The 22,700-nt window shown below is 40.7% G+C and overlaps 1 protein-coding gene across 7 annotated transcripts in view, besides 1 other annotated feature; it reads right to left on the bottom strand.

Moving 5' to 3' along the window:
• Window positions 1-22,700, bottom strand: part of UST (uronyl 2-sulfotransferase) — a 329,961-nt gene that overhangs the window by 279,129 nt on the left and 28,132 nt on the right. The window lies entirely within an intron of this gene.
• Window positions 16,387-16,456: an enhancer, noted in NCBI's record as "active region_25239". NCBI's record gives its function as "activates an Ori minimal core promoter by ATAC-STARR-seq in GM12878 lymphoblastoid cells {active_cell/tissue: GM12878}" and the evidence as "EXISTENCE:reporter gene assay evidence [ECO:0000049][PMID:35858748]".

Here is a 22,700-nt window from a genome sequence, read left to right as displayed (position 1 = left end):
CCCATCTCTTCATCCCCTAGGCTCTAGACATGTTGAATGGTGTTCTCAAAATCATCACACTGGCCTTCTCACATATTGTTCTTCTTGTCTGAACTGCCTTCCTTCCCTCCTTCCTATGAACAACTCCTCGTTGTCTTTCAAAACTCAATGCAAATATCACCTCCTCTGGGAAGACCTTCACGTTTATTCCAACTACCACCCCTCTACGCTCCCACAACATTCGAAGGATACATTTTCCATCACATACCTTATCACTGTGTACTCTGAACACTCACTTTTCTTACTGTCTTCCCTTCAGAACAGGTGCTTAAAATCATTAAGGCTTTGTATTCCCAATGCATACCACAATGCCTAGCACATAGCAGGTGTTCCATAAAAGCTTGCTGAATAAATCAATAACATATTAGGAATGTTTTTTGACACAGTTCTTTGTTTTTACAATGTATTGACCTTTGGATTTATTTGTAAGAACTAAAGTATATAAAGCAGCATATAAAATAGTGCTTTCTATTATTTTGTTGTTGCTGTTGTTTTGTGGGGTTTGTTTGTTTGCTTGTTTGTTTGGTTTTTGTTCGTTCATTTTTAGAGACAGGGTTTCATTCTGCTGCCCAGGCTAGGGTGCAGTGGTGTGATCATAGCTGACTGCAGCCTCGAACTCCTGGGTTCAAGTGCTCCTCCCACCTCAGCCTCCTGAGTAGCTGGGGCTACAGGTGCATGCCACAACACCCAGCTGACAGTGCTTTCTAAACTATTAAGAATTATCGGAGAAGGTTGGGCGCGGTGGCTCATGCCTATAATCCTAGCACTTTGGAAGTGGCCGGTGGATCACCTGAGGTCAGGAGACCAGCCCAGCCAAGATGGTGAAACCCCGTCTCTACTAAAAATACAAAACATAGCCGGACATCATGGGAGGCGCCTGTAATCTCAGCTTCTTGGGAGGCTGAGGCAGAAGAATTGCTTGAACTGGGGAGGCAGAGGTTGCAGCGAGCTGAGATCACGCCATTGCACTCCAGCCTGGGTGACAGAGGGAGACTCCATCTCAAAAAAAAAAAAAAAAAAAAAAAGAATTATCAGAGAAAGTTGGTTTTTAAAGGGCAACACTGCGGCATGAAGAGAGCCTGTACTAGGGAAGCAGGTGTACCTGGGCTTCACCTTGAAGCCTAACGGGTATCAGTTTTTCACTTCAGTGTGCTTCACTCTCTCCCTTCCAGCTCTTTTTTTTTTTTTTTTTTTTTTTTGAGACAGAGTCTTGCCCTGTCGTCCAGGCTGGAGTGCAATGGCACAATCTCGGCTCACTGCAACCTCCGCCTCCCAGGTTCAAATGATTCTCCTGCCTCAGCTTCCTGAGTAGCTGGGATTACAGGCCCGTGCCACCACGTCCATCTAATTTTTGTATTTTTAGTAGAGACAGGGTTTCGCCATGCTGGCCAGGCTGGTCTCGAACTCCTGACCTTGTGATCTGCCTGCCTCAGCCTCCCAAATGCTGGGATTCCCTTCCAGCTCTGAACCTACAATTTGAATTATAAAACTTCAACTTATATACAATTATCAAGAAATGTTTCTGTTATCAAGAAAATTTCTGTATATAAAACTTCAACTTATATACAATTATCAAGAAATGTTTGACCAAAATCTTATGTCCCTTGTAGGTGTATGGATAAATATACTGAAATAAAGGGCAAAGTGCCATGCTTCTCATCTCAATCCTCATCCTAGAGAGGATGAGGATTCAAAACTACCCTTCAGTTTCTTGGGCTGTGAAACCACATGGGAGCAGTCTGCCCCCATGCATCTCAATGGGAATTTTGGTTCAATTATCCACCACGCTGTCCTATCTTGTTTGTTCAGTGATTAAACCACAGTTACTTTAGGCCTAAACAAGATTAACTAAACTATAAATATTTTCCTGAGGATAGCATATGCAGGTGTAGTTAAAAGCCAACCTTTTGTTCTGCTTATAATAAATTGTCTCTGGAAATAAAACAAAATTAATGGTTGTTTATCACTTTAACCAGCCCGTAATGAATCGGCAAAATAAATGAGTCAATATTATTACATTAACATTTATCATACCTGACATAACAGGTATACAAATCAAGTCTGTGTCATGGTTTTGTAGGTCTGTTAGAAGGCAAAAATACGTCATCTCAGCAAAGATGGAAGATTTTAGAGCAGAACAAACCATGGACTACAGACCCACGCCCATCCCACAACCCCAATGGAAGAAGCTATTCTACCTAAGGGTATAGTTGGGTTTTTTTAAAAGTCCCTGGGTAAAATACGGCAGGCGTTGAGAGGACTTTTTTTCATATATAGTAGAGAAAAAAAGCTTTTTAAGACTTAGTAATGTGCCCTGCCCAAAACCTACTCCTTAAGAAAACATGTTCACACTAAGTCCAAGAAATCAAACAAGGAGATACTTTGTATCACAAATCAGAAGCACATCTGCCATGAGATGCAGGTGCTTGTGAGCAAAGCAGCAGGCCAGGCCACCCTTAAAGTTAACCAGCCAGGACAGGCCTCTCACCGTCAGGGCACTTCCTGAACACATCGAAGACCAGGCAACTGAGCCTCTGTCTCCAGCCACACATTGGTATCACAAGCTGGGGACACCCTCCTGTCCCTTCTCATTCAGTGCACACCTCCATCCCAAGCCTACTTCTCAAATATTTCTTACTACAGCTTTGTAAAGTTTTGAAATTTAATTTTCCATGATGAAAAACATAGTACAAATCATATTACAGAAAATTACAGAAAGGCTTCTTTGCAACTGGACCAGAAACAGAAGTCAGGAAACTGAAGACTGGTTAGGCTCTGCCTCAACAACAGAGCCCTTTAATATTTAAAAACAACATGAGTCAGTCTTTAGTATGACTGACTGACTGCCTTTCCTTAGAACGTGGAAAAGACAACGCAGCCGTCAAAGAGGCTGTGGACCTGTGTTCTTAGCCAGTGAATGCTCAGAGACGAAAAGGAGTGTTTAAAGGATGAAGGATACCCACAGCAGTGTGGTAGAAACAGAAGGAATAAGTTCCCCAACTTCCACCCTTCATTAATTATTCCATGTATTTAAGGGCCTCAAATGAAAGACCTTCCACACAAAGCTTTTGTTGGATCATCCAATGTTCTGAGTTTGTTATTCCACCCGATGTTCTTTCTGTACAAGCAGCCACTTCTATCTGGCCAGAGCTAGGTAAATGGTCTGGCTCTGGGATCGAGCAAGCAACATAGGAACTAAATTTTCTGGCAGTAGGGATTGCTGGTCTCCCAGGAGTTCATCAACTATTTCTAAATGGGAGGACACTGACTTTTTAAAAAAGGTTGTCTTATAAGATCATCAAATCTCCTAAAGCTGACAACACTTACAAAAGAAAGAAAAGGATTCTGTATTTTCTAATCACACCACTCTAGCATTTTTTACTCAAAAAGCAGCTTCATTAAAAATAAATTTCTCTTCAGTGGAATAAAAAAGTATGATACTCTCAAAATTCAAATAATGCAGTTACTAGAAGAAAAACATGGTCACCTGCTCTTCAATCACAAGAAGTATAAGAAACTTAAAGCTGTTCTGAGGAAAGAGAAGGTTCATCTTGAGCCATCAAACACCACTCACCTAAAAAATGTAGGTAATGACTCAAGAGTTTTCTAGAACATCAATTTGATATTCAACTAACAGAGATAAAAATTATTCCCAATATGACAGCATCAAATAATTCAGGAAAGTTGAAAGTATCTTGGAGAAATCTTGTGATCAGCACTGGAAAATATAGAAGTGTAAGTGTGTGTTGGTACAACCACTCCAGAAAACTGTTTGGCAGTGTCTATGAAAGCTGAACAGAAACATACCATACAAATCAGTATTTCCATTCCTAGGTACTCCCCAACAGAAATATGCGCTGATGTTAACCAAAACAATGTTCACAGCAGCACTATTCAGAATAGTGCCAAACCAGAGACAACCCAAAAGTCCATCAATCAACAGTAAAATGGAAGGTGGTATATGCAAACAATGGAACTCTGTAAAGCAGTGAAATTGAACAAACTGCAGCCAAAAGAAACAATATGAATGATTCACAAATATAATGTTGAGCAGAAGCAGCCACGAACTCAGAAGGAGACATACTATATTATTCCAATTGCAGTCATGAGCCAAATATACAATGATGGGCCCACAAGATGATAATGGAGCTGAAAAAGTCCTATGGCTTAGAAATGTCATAGCCATTGTGATGTAGTGCACTGCATTACTCACCTGTTGGTGGTGATGCTGGTGGAAACAAACCCGCTGCACTGTCAGTCATATCAAAGTCTAGCACATAACATTTCTCAGAATGTGTTCCCATCGTTAAGCAACACATGACTGCATATGAAGTTCCAAAAAACAGGCACTCCCCTCTGCAGTTAGAGGCGGTGGAGGGTGAGGAGGGGGGTTTCTGGGGACCTGGTCTATCCTGTTTGAGCTTGGTTTGGGTTATATAGGTGAACTCACTTTGTGAGAATTCAGTAAGCTGTCACTTATGATTTGCGTACGTTTCTTTATGTGTTTCACAAACATCACCCTTATTTTTAGTAACTTTTTTTTTTACATATTACAAAAGTAACTCCTATTCAATGTAGAATATATTAAAAATACACATAAAAAAAATTACTTGCTCATAATCTCTTCACCCAGAGATAACTACTGGCTACATTTTTAGAATAAATATACAGGGATCATTCCCCATCACTATAATCTTGTTTCTCTTAATATTAAAAATCATTTCATGTCATTAAGTGGTCCTCTCCATCTTTCTCAACTGCTGTATCACAAGTCATACCATACCCATACAGTACAATAAATTATTTAATTACTCCTTGCTTTTCTTGATGTTTAGGTTGCTTATAATTAATCATTATTGCAATCAACACTGTAACAATCATGTCTGTAGCTAGATATTTAACCACATCTATGATTATTTCCTTAAGATAAATTTTCTAAAGAATGTTTAGATCAAAGGATATTTAAAAAATTATCCCCAGGAGGAAGTTTTGCTAATTTACTTTCCTATCAGCTGTGTTTGAGTTCCTATTCATGTAACATTAATTTTTGAATAGTACAGCAAAAGACAGTCAAAGCAATGTTGTGTTAAACATTAAATTTGTCTCTCCCCACATATAGGAGTTTTAAAATAGATCCCAGAAAATGGCTAAAGTTAAACTATAACATTTCCCATAAATTGAAAGGCCCAGCTACATGAGACACACATCTCTGCCTGAAACGTGAGCTCCAGCAGTTTTGGACAACATCCTTGAGCCACAAGCTGACAGCAAAAAGGTGACACAGGGAAGGCACTTTATGGCCAGGTGGACCTCATGTTCCCTTTCGGAAGATTTTTCAAAGTTGTCTTGATCTCCAGTCCGAAGTGTCTGGGAGGATAGTTTACACAGTTCACAGGCCCAGGCGACTTTGGGGTTTGCTGAGCACTGAGGGGCTTGGTATTAGCAGGAGAGCAAGACTGTGAGCTCTCATTGCCAGCCCGGGGTCAGCTCTGAATGACGCGCAGCCTCTTGCTTTTTGGTCAAGTATGAAACTCACATAACTTGAATCTATTTTGGTCTGCACGGTGCCAAGCATAATTTATTCAAGGATAGAAACTATTTTCAAACTCACATTAATGGGAAGTATCATTCTCTAGGTCATCAGCAACAGTGAATACCAATATCCTGAAATTCCATAAGATTGGAAAGAAGCAGAGAGAGACATCCATCTCATCCTTTGAGCTACCTGCTGACTCCTAGGCTCTCGTCCCCTCTTCTCAGACCCACTTTCCCCGCTTCCTCTGAGGATTTTACAATCTCTTTCCTCTTGGATGCTGCTTTCCAGAACCAAAGGTAATTAGATTAGACTATTTGAGAGTGGGGTTTCCATTTGAGTTTCCTAAAGTAAGTGTGCAAGCTTAGATACAGCATCCTGCATCATGTGATTGACGCGTTGGTCCTGACTTACTCGCTCAACAATCGTTTACTGAGTTTTGTGCTGATAGATATGAGTTCCCATGTAATGCATAAGACTGGCAAGAAGAAAACAGGAAAGCTAACCTCCAGGATCCTGGTGTGAAATTCCTGGATTTACATGTCCCCCTTATTGTTACTCTAGACTGAGAGGAGGCAAGAGGAAGTATTTATTATTTCCATCCCAAGAAAAACAGAAAATCTAGGAAAAGTGGTCACAGAACTTAGGACAACAAGAGTATTGTACTGAAATGTGCTTCTCACAGTGCTTAGTGATCAGTACTGTTGCCAGCAGTACTGATTACAGAATAGAACTCATGTTTGTTTTTTCCCCAGTGAGCAATTGAGTGGAAATAATGACCTCGAGTGGCATTTCTCTGACCCTACGCACTTCTTATGTGTTGTCCACCAATACATGTAAACTCCAGAAAACATATGTAACAAAAATACATTTATTCACATGATAGTTTTAATACGGAAGATTGTCTAAAACATAGAGTCCACATCCTAGGAAAATATAATGGAAGAGCAATATTGAATTCTTCTCCTCTATCTTGGTGACCAATGCTCATCCATACATTCAGCAGAGTTTCTCAACCTCAGCACTCCTGACATTTGGGGCCAGATAATTGTTCCTGCGGGAACTGTCCTGTGCATTGCAGGACATTTAGCAACAACGCTGGCCTCTACCCACTAGATGCCAGTAATAATCTCAAGTCCCCAGGCAATGCCAAATGTCACCTGGAGAACAAAGTCACCTCTGTTGAGAACCACTGCACTTGAGGGAGTCAGAGTGGTGGAGTCAGAAAAGCACTGAATTGAAAAAGGTTCCAGTCCAGATTCAGTAGTCAGCGAACTGTAACCCTGGTCACTGATGTGTTGCGAGGTTTCACTAACGCGTGCACCTTTAACTGTTGCGCAGATCCTGAGGGAGAGATGTGCATGTACTCAGATACAACCTACAAAGGAGTGGAGACGCAGGAACGGGCAGAGAGAGAAGGCAAACTGCGATGCAGCTGCAACGGAGCTCAGCCTGTCCCACAGGAGCTCTGGAACTGGGATGGCCCATCAGAGTTGTCCCAGATTGACGCAAGGGGATCAGACCTTTGTATCCCCACATCAACCAGGCATTGGATGTGGGATGCCCCGAGAGGAGAGGCATAACCTTGGGCGAGGAGGTTTCCTTCCACACGGGGCACAGCACTCCTTCCAGGCTGAAGGAGGGACCCAGCCATGACACATCGGTAGCCATGCTCAGAAGCTGGCAGCCTGAGTGCCTCTCTGAACGGTGGCACATCACAGCATCCGCTACAGCACCTTAACAGTGCAGGGCTGACATTCACCAGGCACAAGGTGGGACGTGGAGGTGATTCAGGGCACGGACTTCAAAATCAGATTCGCCAAGGAGGTATGCCATCTACCCCTGGGCAACTGCCTTGCCCTCATCTGAACCAGTGGCCTCTTTTTCAGAACCTTGTGGTCTCTACTATTCCAGAAACAGCAAATATAGTGAAGGATTATTCTACATCTGACATCATGAGGCGCTGGAGAGAGCAGACAGCAAAACGGGGTCTCTACTCCCAGAAGCTTTCATTCCAGTTGGAGGCACAGAAGAGCACGGAGTGAGATTAGCACGGGCATGAAGGGATCCAAGGTAACCACTCAATCCACCCAGCGAGGCTGCCGCCTTAGGAGGAGACGCTACATGAACACTGTCAGGGAACGAGCTACAGGAAGCAGCTAAAGTCTGACACCGCTGCAAGGATAACTACGATAGCAATGCGAATGCATTATTCCCAGAGAAAGAAAAGAGCTAAAGAAATCAGCCTTCCCAGACAAAAAGGATAGGCACTTAAAGCTGGAAAAAAAAAAAAAAAAAAAGAATCCTGAAATCTTGATGACAGAAAAAAGCTTTTGGTTTTCACTGACATGTGTGATATTTATTTATGAGTCTTCATTATGAAAATATTTTTGGCCAGGCACAGTGGCTCATGCTTGTAATCCCAGCAATTTGGGAAACTGAGACGGGTGGATCTTTTGAGGTCAGGAGTTCGAGACCAGCCTGGCCAACATGGTAAAACCCTGTCTCTACTAAAAATACAAAAACTAGCTGGGTGTGGTGGTGGGCACCTGTAATTCCAGGAGAGGCTGAATTACAGGAGGCTCTGTAATTCAGCCTCCGTAATTCTGAATTACGGGAGGCTGAGACAGGAGAATCACTAGAACCTGTGAGGTAGAAGCTGCAGTGAACTGAGATGGCATCACTGCACTCCAGCCTGGGTGACAGAGTGAGACTCTGTCTCAAAAAATACATATTTTCAATGTTGCATTATTTTCTTTTAATTCAATGATCAAAAACATTTATATAAATAAAATACTTTTGAAAGTGTGTGTGTGTGTGTGTGTGTGTGTGTGTGAGAGAGAGAGAGAGAGAGAGAGAGAGATCTGCACAAGAACTCTAGATCCTTGCTACTCAAAAGTGTGGTTCATATAGATGCTTCCATTGGATGCAGCTTCTAAGAAATTCAGTGGGGTTGGGGTGGGCCTGAGATTCTGCATTTCTAACAGTTCACAGGTGATGCTGATGCTGCTGACTCAGAACACACATTGAGGAGGACAGTTTCTAGATCATTCAGCTAAAATGGTTGTTAAAATTCAGGTGAAGAAATAATTAAGCCTTCTGGAAAGAAAAAGAAATATGGAAACAATATTGTGCCAAGAACCTAGTAGCTTAAATGCTGCTGTCTTAGCAGCAAAGTGAACCCTAATTAAAACTCTCAGCAAACCAAAAGATATTTCCTTCAGCATTTAAACGTTATTGCCACTGGATCTAAGACAACGCTAAGTAGGTATCATTCACGGGCAGGCATAGGTAGCTACATGGACTCTGGATGTATTATTTACAACATAAATACCACAAAACAAGACCTGAATAATATTATTCCATGTGAAAATGGGCCAGCCCTTAACCACAGCATTTTCCTGAACTAAACTGGCACTCACAACCATTCACTTCAAATGTCAGAGCTGAGCCCTTAAGTAAAAATAATTTGCTACAGACATCATGTTGATGAGATCGTTACTGAACATTTGTAATAAAGGAGTAAGATTTGATCTTAAAATTTGATCTCAAAATTAGTTGAGTTTCTCTTGACAATTTTATTCTAGATGCCTGGCATCATTCAAGGATTTTATCTTTTTTTTAAGAGCTCTTAAGACACGTTATAGGTCAACATTTTGGATCATTTTTTATCACAGCCACGCAGATTGGATGTGTCAGAAAATTATTATATGAGGATAATAAGTGATCTGTACAAACGGCTCAAGTTTATGAATGTAAGCAGAACTTTATGAAATGAATTATAGCATAACAGCATTTTTTAAAGAAATTTCTGATTATTTCAGTGATATTTTCATATAATAACCTTTCCTCAAAGTGACTCATATCTAAATAGTTTAAATAAGGTTTATCCTGGCTAATTAATAAAATAACTTTCACTAAGTGTGTGTGTGTGTATATATATATATTTTCTAGTTGAACGATGATATGGTTTGGCTGTGTCCTCACCCAAATCTCATCTTGAATTATACTCCCATAATTCCCATGTGTTGTGGGAGGGACCCAGAGGGAGACAATTGAATCTTGGGGGGCAGTTTCTCTCATACTGTTCTCGTGGTAGTAAATAAGTCTCACAAGATCTGATGGTTTGATAAGAAGAAACCCGTTTCGCTTGGCTCTCATTCTCTCTCTTGCCGCTGCAATGTAAGAAGAGCCTTTCACCTTCCCCTATGATTGTAAGGCCTCCCTAGCCATGTGGAACTGTAAGTCCATTAAACCTCTTTTTCTTCCCAGTCTCGGGTACATCTTTATCAGCAGCATGAAAACAGACTAATACAAGCAATCTATTTTTTAAAACTGACTTAAAAATTCAAGAATGTAAACTATTTTAAAATGATCTAACAGGAAGAAAGTACTCACAAAGATTTGTCATGTAATATCAGTGGCTTTGATTACAATTTTTTAATAGCACTGTCACTATTTGGGTTGTTCATGGATAGGAAGAATCAATATCATGAAAATGACCACACTGCTCAAAGCAATTTATACATTCAATGCTATTCCCATTAAACTGCCATTGACATTCTTCACAGAATTGGAAAAAAACTATTTTAAAATTCATATGGAACCGAAAAAGAGCCTGAATAGCCAAGGCAATCCTAAGCAAAAAGAACAAAGCTGGAGGCATCATGCTACCCGACTTCAAACTATACTACAGGGCTACAGTAACCAAAACAGCATGGTACTGGTGCAAGAACAGACACATAGACCTATGGAACAGAATAGAGAACCCAGAAATAAGGCCACACACCTGCAACCATCTGATCTGAGACAAACCTGAAAAAAACAAGCAATGGGGAAAGGATTTCCTATTTAATAAATGGTGCAGGGAGACCTGGCTAGCCATATGCAAAAAATTGAAACTGGACCCCTTCCTTACACCATATACAAAAATCAACTTAAGATGGATTAAAGACTTAAATGTAAAACCCAAAACTATAAAAAACCTAGAATAAAACCTAGGCAACGTCATTCAGGACATATGCATGGGCAAAGATTTAATGATGAAGACAACAAAAGCAAAAATTGACAAATGGGATCTAATTAAACTAAAGAGCTTCTGCACAGCAAAAGAAACTATCAATAGGTAAACAAACTACCTACAGAATGGGAGAAAATTTTTGCAATCTATACATCTCACAAAGATCTAATATCCAGCATCTATAAGGAACTTAAATTTACAAGAAAAAAACAACCCCATTAAAAGCAGGCAAAGGACATGAACAGACACTTTTCAAAAGAAGACATACATGCAGCCAAAAAACATGAAAAAAAGCTCAACATCATTGATTATTAGAGAAATGTAAATCAAAACCACAATAAGATACCATCTCACACCAGTCAGAATGGCAATTACTAAAAAGTCAAAAAATAACAGATGCTAGTGAAGTTGTGGAGAAAAAGGAATGTTTTTACACTGTTGGTTGTGGAAGACAGTGTGGTGACTCCTCAACGACCTAGAGGCAGAAATACCATTTGACCCAGCAATCGTATTACTGGACACATACCCAAAGGAGTATAAGTAGTTCTATTACAAACAGACATGCACGCATATGTTCATTGCAGCACTATTCACAATAGCAAAGACATGGAATCAACCTAAATGCTCATCAGTGATAGACTTGATAAAGAAAATGTGGCACAAACATACCATGGAATACAATGCATCCATAAAAAGGGATGAGATCATGTCCTTTGCAGGGACATGAATGGAGCTGGAGGTCATTATCCTTAGCAAACTAACACAGGAACAGAAAACCAAATACAGCATGTTCTCTCTTATAAGTGAGAGCTAAATGATGAGAACACATCGATATATGGGGAGGAACAACACACACTGGGGCCATTTCGAGGGCAGGGGGTGGGAAGAGGGAGAGGATTAGGAAGAATAGCTAGTGGATGCTGGGATTAATACCTGGGTGATGGGATGATCTGTGCAGTAAACCACCATGGGACATGTTTACCTGTGTAACGAACCTGCACATCCTGCACACGGACCCCTGAACTTAAAATAAAAGCTGGAAATTTAAAAAAAGAAATAATAGTATAAAAACCCTTTTATCTAAAGTAAAGTTAGTCTAAAAATTGAGAGTTGAAACTCTTTGAGGCAAATTTAATGAAAAGAGAATCATATACATCCTGTTAGGAAAAAAAAAAAAGATCTGTCATGGTAGCATTTTCATTAAGCAAAAATGTCTTAAGATTGAGTTCCAATTGCACTATATACTATTTAAAAAGCTAACATGATATTTTTGTCTGAACAGGGCAAAATAAAATAATTCTTGTTTTCTACCCCTCAAAATACCCATAAAAACAAATTCTATAATTCTACTTCTGTATATCCAATGATGGTTCCTCAATTCATACATTTTTTATAAGCAAGGGATCAATAATGAGTAAATGTATATTTTAAGGAACTACTTTTTTAACATACATGGTTTGGGGTATCAGTTAGAGTGTATTCTTTTCCTAAGCATTTTTTTCCTCAACATCTTATACTATTCAAGTGTTCAAGTGCTGCCCACAAAATATATAGAAATATCTTGAAATCTCATCCAAACGATTAGTTGTGTTAGTAAGCTTTGATGTTAAGAATACTTTATTGTAATTCTTTTTAACCAGAAAGACATGTACTATACTTCTATTATCCAGAATGTTCAAATAATCAGCATGCCATATTCTTCAACCACTCTGCACAAATGGTAGTTCGCTGGTCATTTTAATAGTATGTAATTTCAATAAAGGCAAATTAATATAGCACTTTAGTCTTTATAAAGCAATTTTCATTTGCATTGCCTCATTTAACCCTCACAACAACCTTTGAGGTAGGCATTATCATAGTCCTCATTTGTATATCTAAGTAGTCTCAAAGATATTATGCAGTTGTCCCCAAATCATCTAGCTATTGAGTAGTAAAATCAGGAATCAAATCTTGGGCTGAGATGCTTTTCTCCTCTTGATACATAACATGAAGTGTGACACAGACTATAAAAGATAATGGTCTATAGCATCTTAATGCCTAAATGCATGTATGCTTTTTTTTTTTTTTTTAAGATGGAGTCTTGCTCTGTCGCCCAGGCTGCAGTGCAGTGGCTCAGTCTCGGCTCACTGCAACCTCTGTCTCCCGGACTCAAGAAATTCTCCTGCCTCAACCTCCCTAGTAGCTGGGACTACAGGCACACGCCGCCAAGCCGGCGTGTATTTCAGTCGAGACAGGGTTTCACTGTGTTGCCCAGACTGGTTGCAACTCCTGAGCTCAGGCAATCCGGCTGCCTCAGCCTCCCAAAGTGCTGGGATTACAGGCACGAGCCACTGCGCCCGGCCACATATATGCTCTTCATTATCTGTTAAATATTCCATGGCCATGCTCTGCTCTTCCTGAGTCTGCTAAGTCTTCTATACTTCATGTCCACTGATAAGACATTTCAAAGTGCCTTGAAACAAAATGCAGCAACTTGCTTTTACCAGTCTATTGTTTCTACCTGACTTGAGGCAGAATGCTTGCCATTCACCAGGTATTCATCAATTCATTCAACAAATATTTACTGAGCTTTTATCATATCGCAGGCACTGTGCTTTCAGTTTTTCTAAGGGTGTCTGTGGACACATACACAAGATAAACAGCCAATATATGTACAATTTTCCACTTGTTCTTTCCAATTAATACTCTGATTGCCACCAAATCTAATACCTTCCAGCCAGCTTAGATACAGACAGAGGTATGATTTGCCTGATATAGCTTCCCTTTTGGGAGACAGTTCCTCGTGAATGGGTACACAGCTCACTCACTGGTGGAACTTGAGAGGATTTGAGATGGTGTGTTGGTTAGTAAATACTGCCTGGACTTATGTCGAGAGAATGTTATTTCCTTCAAAATTTTCATTCAATAATTCCGATTACATAAAAAGAGTGTCATCGTTTGGGGCTAGTGTTATGTTTAAACTCTTCATAACTTGATAATCTCTCTTTTTAGCAGAGAGAAAACTTCAGGCTCAGAAACTTAAGTGGGGAACTTTAGTTAAAATTTAATATATTTTTTCATAGCATTTATTTTTAGTGTTACCTTTTTCATAGTGAGTGAAATGTGGTTACATTTCCACATCGAATATGGATTACAGTTTCTTTCATAAATTATTCACATATAAAAGTCAGTCTTTATTTAAAATGATGAAGCGTATGAGGGTTGGGGTTTCGTGATATGCCGTAAATTACAGAGGTAGGACAGAAATCACTGACATTGGGGAAAACTCATAGGCAGAGAAAGCAGTGGATTGATCAGCAGCAGCCTATTTCTAGGCCGGGTTGTGTGACTTTGAAGATATCATTGAATCTTGTAGCTCATCATCTTCACCTGTAAAATGCGGGGTTGGATGAGATCTATAGTGCAACATTTTTCTGTCCCCAACCCCCTGGGGACAGAAAATTCCCACTGCACAGGGGAACCTTACTACTGCAAGGATGGCAGACTAGGAATTAGAAGGTTAGCAGGAAATGTGTAGTTATTTCAGGTTCCCCAGGCTTCCACTCCCAAGTGTTCACGTTAAGAACATGCTTAGGGGTTGAGAATCACCAGACAAGTTCATCTCTAAGGCCTCTTCCAATTCTAAAACCACAAGAAGCTCTGATTTTACATATAAATGTGCATGCACAGATATCAAGGACATTTGGTAGCTGTGAGAAGAAAATATGCCTATAATTTTTCCTAAGAAGGAAGAATTATTTAAAATAATGATACGTCTGCTTCTTCAGGGGAAAGGTGTACATGGGAAAAACTCCAGGAGAGAAATGCTTTTTGCTGGGTTGATTAAAACTTGAGCTCTGTTAGTCAATGAGAATATGACTTATCTGGCAAAACTATCAGATTACAGAAATGTTATTTGTGTATATGTGTGCCAGAGATATTGGAGGTTCAGTTCCAGACCACCAGAATAAAGCAAATATGACAATATAGTGAGTTTTTTAGTTATCCAAGGCATATAAAAGTTATGTTTATGTTACACTATAGTCTATTAAGTGTGCAATAATACACTTATATCTAAAAATAATGTATATACCTTAATATAAAAATTGTAAATGCTTAATTGCTAAAAATGCTTACAATCATCTGAGCCTTCAGTGAGTCATAATCTTTTTGCTGGAGGAGGGTCTTGTCTCGATGTTGGTGACTGCTAATGGATCAGGGTGATGGTTGCTAAAGCTTGCGGTGGCTATGGCACTTTCTTAAAATAAGACAACAACGAAGTTTGCCACATTGATGTACTCTTCTTTTCACGAAAGATCTCCATAGCATATGATGTGGTTTGATAGCATTTTACACAGAGTAGAACTTCTTTCAAAACTAGAGCCAATCCTCTCAAGCTCTGCAGCTGCTTTATCCACTAAGTTTATGAAATATTCAAAATCCTTTGTTGTCATTTCAACAATGTTCACCGCGTCTTCGCCAGGAGTAGATTCCATCTCAAGAAGCCGCTTTTTTGGCTTATCCATAAGAAACAACTTGGCCGGGCACTGTGGCTCATGTCTGTAATCCCAGCACTTTGGGAGGCCGAGGCAGGTGGATCACCCGAGATCAGGAGTTCGAGAGACCAGCCTGACCAACATGGTGAAACCCTGTCTCTACTAAAAATACAAAAATTAGCCGGGCATGGTGGCAGGCGCCTGTAATCCCAGCTTCTCGGGAGGCTGAGACAGGAGAATCTCTTGAACCCAGGAGGTGGAGGTTGCAGTGAGCCAAGATCGCGCCACTGCACTCCAGCCTGGGTGACAGAGCGAGACTCTGTCTCAAAAAAAAAAAGAAGCAACTCCTCATCTGTTCATCTGTTCAAGTTTGATCATGAGATAGCAGCAATTTAGTCCCATTTTCAGGTTCCACTTCTAATTTTAGTTCTCTCGCTATTTCCACCACATCTGCAGTTACTTCTCCACTCAAGTCTTGACCCCCTCGATGTCATCCCAACTTCTTCCAAACTCCTGTGAATACTGATATTCTGACCTTCTTCCATGAATGACAAATGTTCTTAATGGAATCCAGAATGGTGAATTCTTACCAGAGGATTTTCAATGTACTTTGCCCAGATCCATCAGAGGAATCACTATCCATGGCAGCTATATCCTTATAAAAACTCCAGCCTGGGTGACAGAGCTGAGTTTCAAAAAAAAAGAAATGTATTTCTTAAATAAAAGGATATGAAAGTCAAAATTAGTCCTTGATCCATGGGCTGCAGAATGGATGTTGTGCTAGCAAGCATTAAAACAACATTAATCTCCTTGTACATCTCCATCAGAGACCTTGAGTGACTAGGTACATTGTCAATGAGCAGTGACCTTTGAAAGGAATCTGTTTTTCTGAGCACTATTTTTTTAAAGCCCAACAATGGGCTTAAAATAGTCAGTAAACCATGCTATAAACAGATATGCTGTCACAGGCAGAGTAGATTTGGCAAATTCTTAAGGGCCCTACAATTTTCAGAACGGTAAATAAACACTGGGTTCAACTTTAAGATACCAGCTACATAAGCCCCTAACAGGAAAATCAGCCTGTCATTTGAAGATTCAAAGCCAGGTACCGGGTTCTCCTCTGTAACTAGAGTCCTAGATGGCATCTTCTTCCTATAGAAAGCTGTTATGTCTACATTGAAAATCTGTTGTTTAGTGTAGCTGCCTTCAACAATGATCCTAGCTAGATCTCCTAGATGACCTGTTGCAGCTTCTACATCAGCACTCACTGCTTCACCTTGCACTTTTATGTTCCAGAAACAGCTTCTTTCATTAAACTTCATGAACCAACCTCTGGTAGCTTCCAACTTTTCTTCTGCAGCTTCCTCACCTCTCTCAGCCTTCATAGAACTGAAGAGAGTTAGGACCTTGCTCAGGATCAGGCTTTGGCTTAACGCAATGTTGTGGCTGGTTTGACCTTCTATCCGGACCACTCAAACTTTCTCGGTATCAGTAATGAGGCTCCTTAGCTTTCTTACCATTCACGTGTTCACCGGAATAGCACTTCTCATTCCCTTCAACAACATTTCTTTTGCTTTCAAAACTTGGTTAACTGTCGCTAGAGACCCAGCCTTCAGTTTATCTCAGCTTTCGGTCTATTTCAGCTTTCAACATGCCTTCCTCACTAAGCTTAATCATTTCTAGCTTTCTATTTAAGGTGAGAAATGTGCAACTTTTCCTTTCACTTCAACACTTAGAGGCCATTGTGGGGTTATTAACTGACCTAATTTCAATATTGTTGTGTCTCAGGGAATAGGGAGGTCCAAGGAGAGGAAGAGAGACAGGGAACCACAGGTAGGTGGAGCAGTCAGAACACACATATTTATTGAATAAATTTGCCTTCTTATATGGGTGCAGTTTGTGGCTCCCCCAAACAATTACAATAGTAACACCAAAGATCATTCATCACAGATCCCCATAACAGATATAATAATAATGAAAAAGTTGAAAATATTGCAAGAATTACCAAAATATGATACAGAGGCACTAAGTAAGCATATGTTATCAGAAAAAATGGTGCTGACTATTCACAATAGCAAAGACATAGAATGAACCTAAATGCCCATCAATGGCAGACTGGATAAAGAAAATGTGGTACATATATACCATGGAATACTATGCAGCTGTAAAAAAGAATGAGATCAAGTTCTTGCAGGAATGTGGATGGAGCTGGAGGCCATTATCCTTAGCAAACTAACATAGGAACAGAAAACCAAATACCACATGTTCTCGCTTATAAGTGGGAGCTAATTGATGAGAACACATGGACACAAAGAGGGGAACAGCAGACACCAGGGCCTCCACTGGAGGGTGGGGAGTGGGAGGAGGGAGAGAAACAGAAAAAATAACTATAGGGTACTGGGCTTAGTACCTGGGTGATGAAATAATCTGTACAACAAACTCCCATGACACGCGTTTACCTATATAACAAACCTGCACATGTACCTCTGGACCTAAAATAAAAGTTTTAAAAAAAGAAAAATGAGAAGTGGTGCTGATAAACTTGCTCAACAACAGTTTGCCACGAATCTTCCATTTACTATTTTAAAATGCATTATCTGTGAAGTACAATACAGTGAACCACAATAAAACAAGGTATTCCTGCATAAGTGTGTGTGTGTGTGTGTATATATATACACACACATGTATTTGTGTGTGTGTGTGTGTATATATATACACACACATGTATTTGTATATGTATGTGTCTATAATAAAATACAATAATACCTCACTGATCTATAACTCAGTGTCTGGAGACCTCCTGTATCTGGAATAAACCTGAGTAAATAAGCAGCCAAAATAAATATCACAAAGTCTTTCTGCTGAGTTCACAAGCCCTCCAAGAACTCCACTCACAGCAGTTCACAGAGGCAGCTAACAGGAGGGGGAAAAAACACTGAGAAACACTAAGTTAAACAGAATCGAAAAGGATTTCTTTCCTGCAGGACTTAGGGGAGGCTTTAAAATGTTAAGACGTGTTGAGAGCCCACAAGGAGAGAATAATTCACTATTCTGTAAACTTATTTGACCAAAAATGTCCTTTTCTCTCAAAGCTATACTAATATTTCCAGCCATGATGACACCTACATTTCTAGAGTCACTTTAACGTCTGAATTTTCCAAGTGTTTCCACATATATCACATCTCATTTTGTCCTTACGACATCCCGTGGAGCGGGCTGAGTGGGAATTATTATTTCCCTGGCGTGGTGGGAGCAACAGAGGCAGGACCAGGACCGGAATTCTCTCAGCCCTGCTCATTCCTCCAGATGTCAGCAAGTTCATGGGTGTCAATGCACGACATTCTCCCAGACTTCCCTCACATGTCTTCCCCAGAGTTGGAGATTTCCTTTATCTGGTGAGGAACCAAGAGGAGGAACTAACGTCAAAGAGATTCCCTTGAAAACACTCTGAAATTCTCAAAGTATTCTTAAAAAGAGCTGTGATGAAATTTAATGTTACGTAATGCTTCTCCTCAAGACTGTATTTCATTTGCTCCATAGAATGACAAGGGTCTGAAATCCACACTTGAAAAGGAGACAGAAGTGCTGAGTCAACGGAAGAAGTACAGTGATGTTTCTGAAATAATAAGGAATTTTCCAGGAGGCTTGAGGTAGTACTTTCTGGTTGAAAAAAAAAAAAAAATGTGCCACAAAGAACATTCTTTGGTTCTTTGTGGAGAGAAAAAGAGAGAAGTCCCACAGCGGCATCCACAGCGGGTAAGGACAGCCACAGCTATGGCTGCAGCCCAGGAGGGTGGGCTCGGCCTTGCAGAAGAGGGCAATGGGCTGAGCTGCTGTGACCACCATGAGGATGGAAAACAGAGGGAAGAGAGGGGTGATACGCTCAACCAATGCAATCTGGATTCCGGATGGGATGGAGGGGGGTGGGCCTTGGTCGTCATCAGAGATGACCAGAGCTCTGGCTCAAGACCCCACTCCCTACCATGTAATGGCTTTATAACCCTCGGCAAGTTGCCCCAGGCCTGGAGTTTCAATTCTTAAATCAACACAATGTCAGTGATGATGGCTTACTTACAGGTGCCCTGGACAGACCCTGCGAGCCTTAGGACTCAGATCTGTGAGCCTCCAACCATGTTCCTGCCAGGCCCCACACTGATGCAGGGATTGTCACAGGACTGCACCCCACACCAGAGTGCCCTGCCTGACGTGGCCTGGGAGGAGGGGTCAGGGGCTGAAAGGGAGGCCATGCTCCATTCACAAGCCATGGTGCCAGTGTTCGCCTCAGGAAGGGCACCGTTGTAGAATTAGTCCCAAGGAGTGCCTTTTTCTGTCACCCACAAGGCCCTAGTATGTCTGCCTGGGCCCTGGATCCTCACTCAGGACTTTCAGTCCTTTAGTCAAATCACTTGATATAAAAGAAAATAAGACCAAGAAAAAAATCTCTAATAGGCAAAATCTCCACATCTTGCTTCTGAAATTCTTGTTTAAAACAGAAAACAAAGAAGCTTAACAACCCTTTCTGAGTGGCCTTGGAAAAAAATTTGGAACTAGGGCTCTGTACTCCAGGAAATCCTTATGGGAAAGGAGGCTATACCTCTATTCTTATAGCTAAGGTGAAGGTTAAAATTTCAGTTTATCATTACAATTATTGTATTATTTTTATTTTTTACTTTTCAATTTTGTTGATATGTAACTACCACTATGCATTGCTTAAGAATGGGGACACATTCTGAGAAATGCATTGTTAGGGCATTTCATCATTGTACAAACACCAAAGCGTGAACCTGCATAAACCTAGATGGTACAGCCTACTCTACACCTAGGCTAGATGGTATAGCCTATTGCTCCTAGGCTACAGACCTGGACAGCATGTGACTGTACAGAATATATTGCAGGCAACTGTAACAGAATAGTATGTACTTGTGTATCTAAATATACCTAGGCCAGGTGTGGTGGCTCATGCCTGTAATCCCAACACTTTGGGATTACGGAGGCCGAGGCAGGTAGATCACCTAAGGTCAGGAGTTCGAGACCAGCCTGGACAACATGGTGAAACCCCATCTCTATTTAAAAGGTACAAAAAGTAGCTGGGTGTGGTGGCAGGTGCCCATAATCCCAGCTACTCGGGAGGCTGAGGCAGGAGAGTCACTGGAACCCGGGATGCGTAGGTTGCAGTGAGCTGAGATTGTGTCATTGCACTCCAGCCTGGGTGACAGAGCGAGACTCCGTCTCAAAAAACAAAAAAATTAACATGGAAAGGTACAGTAAAAATAGAGTATTATAATCTTATGAGACCACCATCAGAATAAGCATCTATCCTTTACCAAAGCATCATTATGTGGCACATGACTATACAATAAAAGTCAATTAAAATATTCACACTGTGCTTTAGCAAAACGAATCTTTTATGTGTGTTTGGCTTCACCTTTGTTTGATTTGGTATTATCTGAGAGAAACTGAAAATTGCATAATTCAATTAAATCTTATTTACTTATTCAGAGTCATCCATCAGGCTTGCTTATGTAGAACACAACTGAAAATAAGAGCTAATGGCCTAACGTCTAAAAGAGGTAAAGAGATAAAGATGAGGCACGCTGTTCCCTTATTCATTAAGAGCAGTCGGTTTTAAGTGCGGTAAGTGAGCCGGCACACCAGGAAAAAACGGCTCCTGTCTCCAGGAGAGGAAACATCCAGCAAGCACTTGGAGCTCCAGTGAGGGCCATTCCTGCTGTTTTACAAATTCCAACACGTTCTGTATTTGCTCCCTGAATTTACTGCCTGTTAGAATCAGCAGGTTAGTGGGATGGAGAGCTGCTACGACCAGCCACTTGAGAGCAGGGACAAGGCCAAGGGACCACACAGGAGATGCAAACCTACAACAGACCCAAGAGTGCACCCAGCAGGACAGACCAAGGCCAGGTAAGGGCAGGACAGCGGGTCCCACCCATCATGACGGATCCAGAGGAGATGACTGTATCACAGCCAGATTCCAGAAACAATGTCTTACGAGATTCAAACGATGACTAATAGTTCCACTGGAGAAGAAAACCATGTGTAATATGTTTTAAAGAGATTTCCAACAAATGGTTAAAGAAAAAAGGGGAGGGTATGATGGTTAAAGCTCTAAACTTTCACTTTCTAGAAAACACCATTATCTGGAGCTCTTCATTCCATGCTATTCCAGATAAGTAAGGCCTTACAGTATGTTTTACTACAATTATCTCTCTTTACCTCTTTTCAAAATGCCCAACTCCAGCTGCTGTATCTCATTAAACTTTAAGTTTCACTTCAAAACTCACCACGTGCAGAAAAGAATGAGATGATTCTGCACAAAACTGGTCATCACAATAAAACAGCTTTATTTCCAAGTCCCTGAAAGGCTCAGTTGCGTCATTGACCACACTCCCACCCTCAAAAATCCACCGCAAACACTTCTGCTGAGAAGAGGATTGAACACATAGGAAAATGTAAGCTAATGGTCATATTTTTAAAAATCTTGGAAGAAGATCCACTAAGGGCCTGAATGAGAACCAGAAAGTGCTCCTCTTCTGGAAACCAGGACTGGAGGTCTGAAGCAAAAGCCAGAATTTCTCTAACACAGAACAACACCAGGCTGGTATTTAAAGAGATCTTTCTTGTCTATTTTTTTTCCTTCAGAGGAGGCAAATTTGCCCTATTAATTCAGCCAAAATAAATAAGGACAATTCTCTGGAATTCACATGTCCTTTAAAAAATGCAGAAAATAAAGTGTAAGTAATAAAATTTCAGCTCATAATTCCTCCAAGTTATAAAACAATAGCAATAACAATCAAATATATACGTCCTGTTCTCCTAGAACAAGGTATAAAATTCATATTTTACCAGGCCGGGCGCAGTGGCTCACACCCGTAATCCCAGCACTTTGGGAGGCTGAGGCGGGCAGATTTCCTGAGGTCAGGAGTTCGAGATCAGCCTGACCAACATGGTGAAACCCCATCTCTACTAAAAATTTCAAAAAAAATTAGCTGGGCATGGAGGCGTGTGCCTGTGATCCCAGCTACTCGGGAGGCTGAGGCAGGAGAATTGCTTGAATCCAGGAAGCAGAGGTTGCAGTGAGCCAAGATCGTGCCACTGCACTCCAGCCTGGGGGATAGAGTGAGACTCTCTCCCCGCCCCAAAAAAAAAAAAATTTAATTAAAAAAAGAGTTACAATCAACTAAAACCAACACAGTTTTCAGGGATGTATGTGTGTATGCACACCCACATGCACACACATACACATACACAGAGGTAGTTTCACAGTGACTGCTGAAGTTTAAATTTCAGGAGCCCTTACTTTTATGAGCTCCTTTCCAAGTCTGAGGGGTGGCTCTAACAATAAACGCACATGCTCACGTTTTTTTTGCAAAATCTGCAAAAGGAAACTGCCATTGGTAAAGACCACCACCTCGCTCCATCCTAACTTCCCCTTCTCCACACAACCTCTCACGCTGGGCGACACTGCACTGGAGTGGGCATTTTTTTTTAACTGACAATGTTTTATTCTTTGTCCTAAAGGAAGCTGTCAAATTCACATAATATTCAAGCCCTGCAAAACTTGGCAGAGAACAATAAATACAAGACCAAGAATACTAGTTACCTCAGGTAGAGGGCG

Source organism: Homo sapiens, chromosome 6, assembly GCF_000001405.40.
Source record: "Homo sapiens chromosome 6, GRCh38.p14 Primary Assembly".
NCBI classification, from domain to species: domain Eukaryota; kingdom Metazoa; phylum Chordata; class Mammalia; order Primates; family Hominidae; genus Homo; species Homo sapiens.
This window is presented reverse-complemented; position numbering and strand designations above follow the sequence as displayed.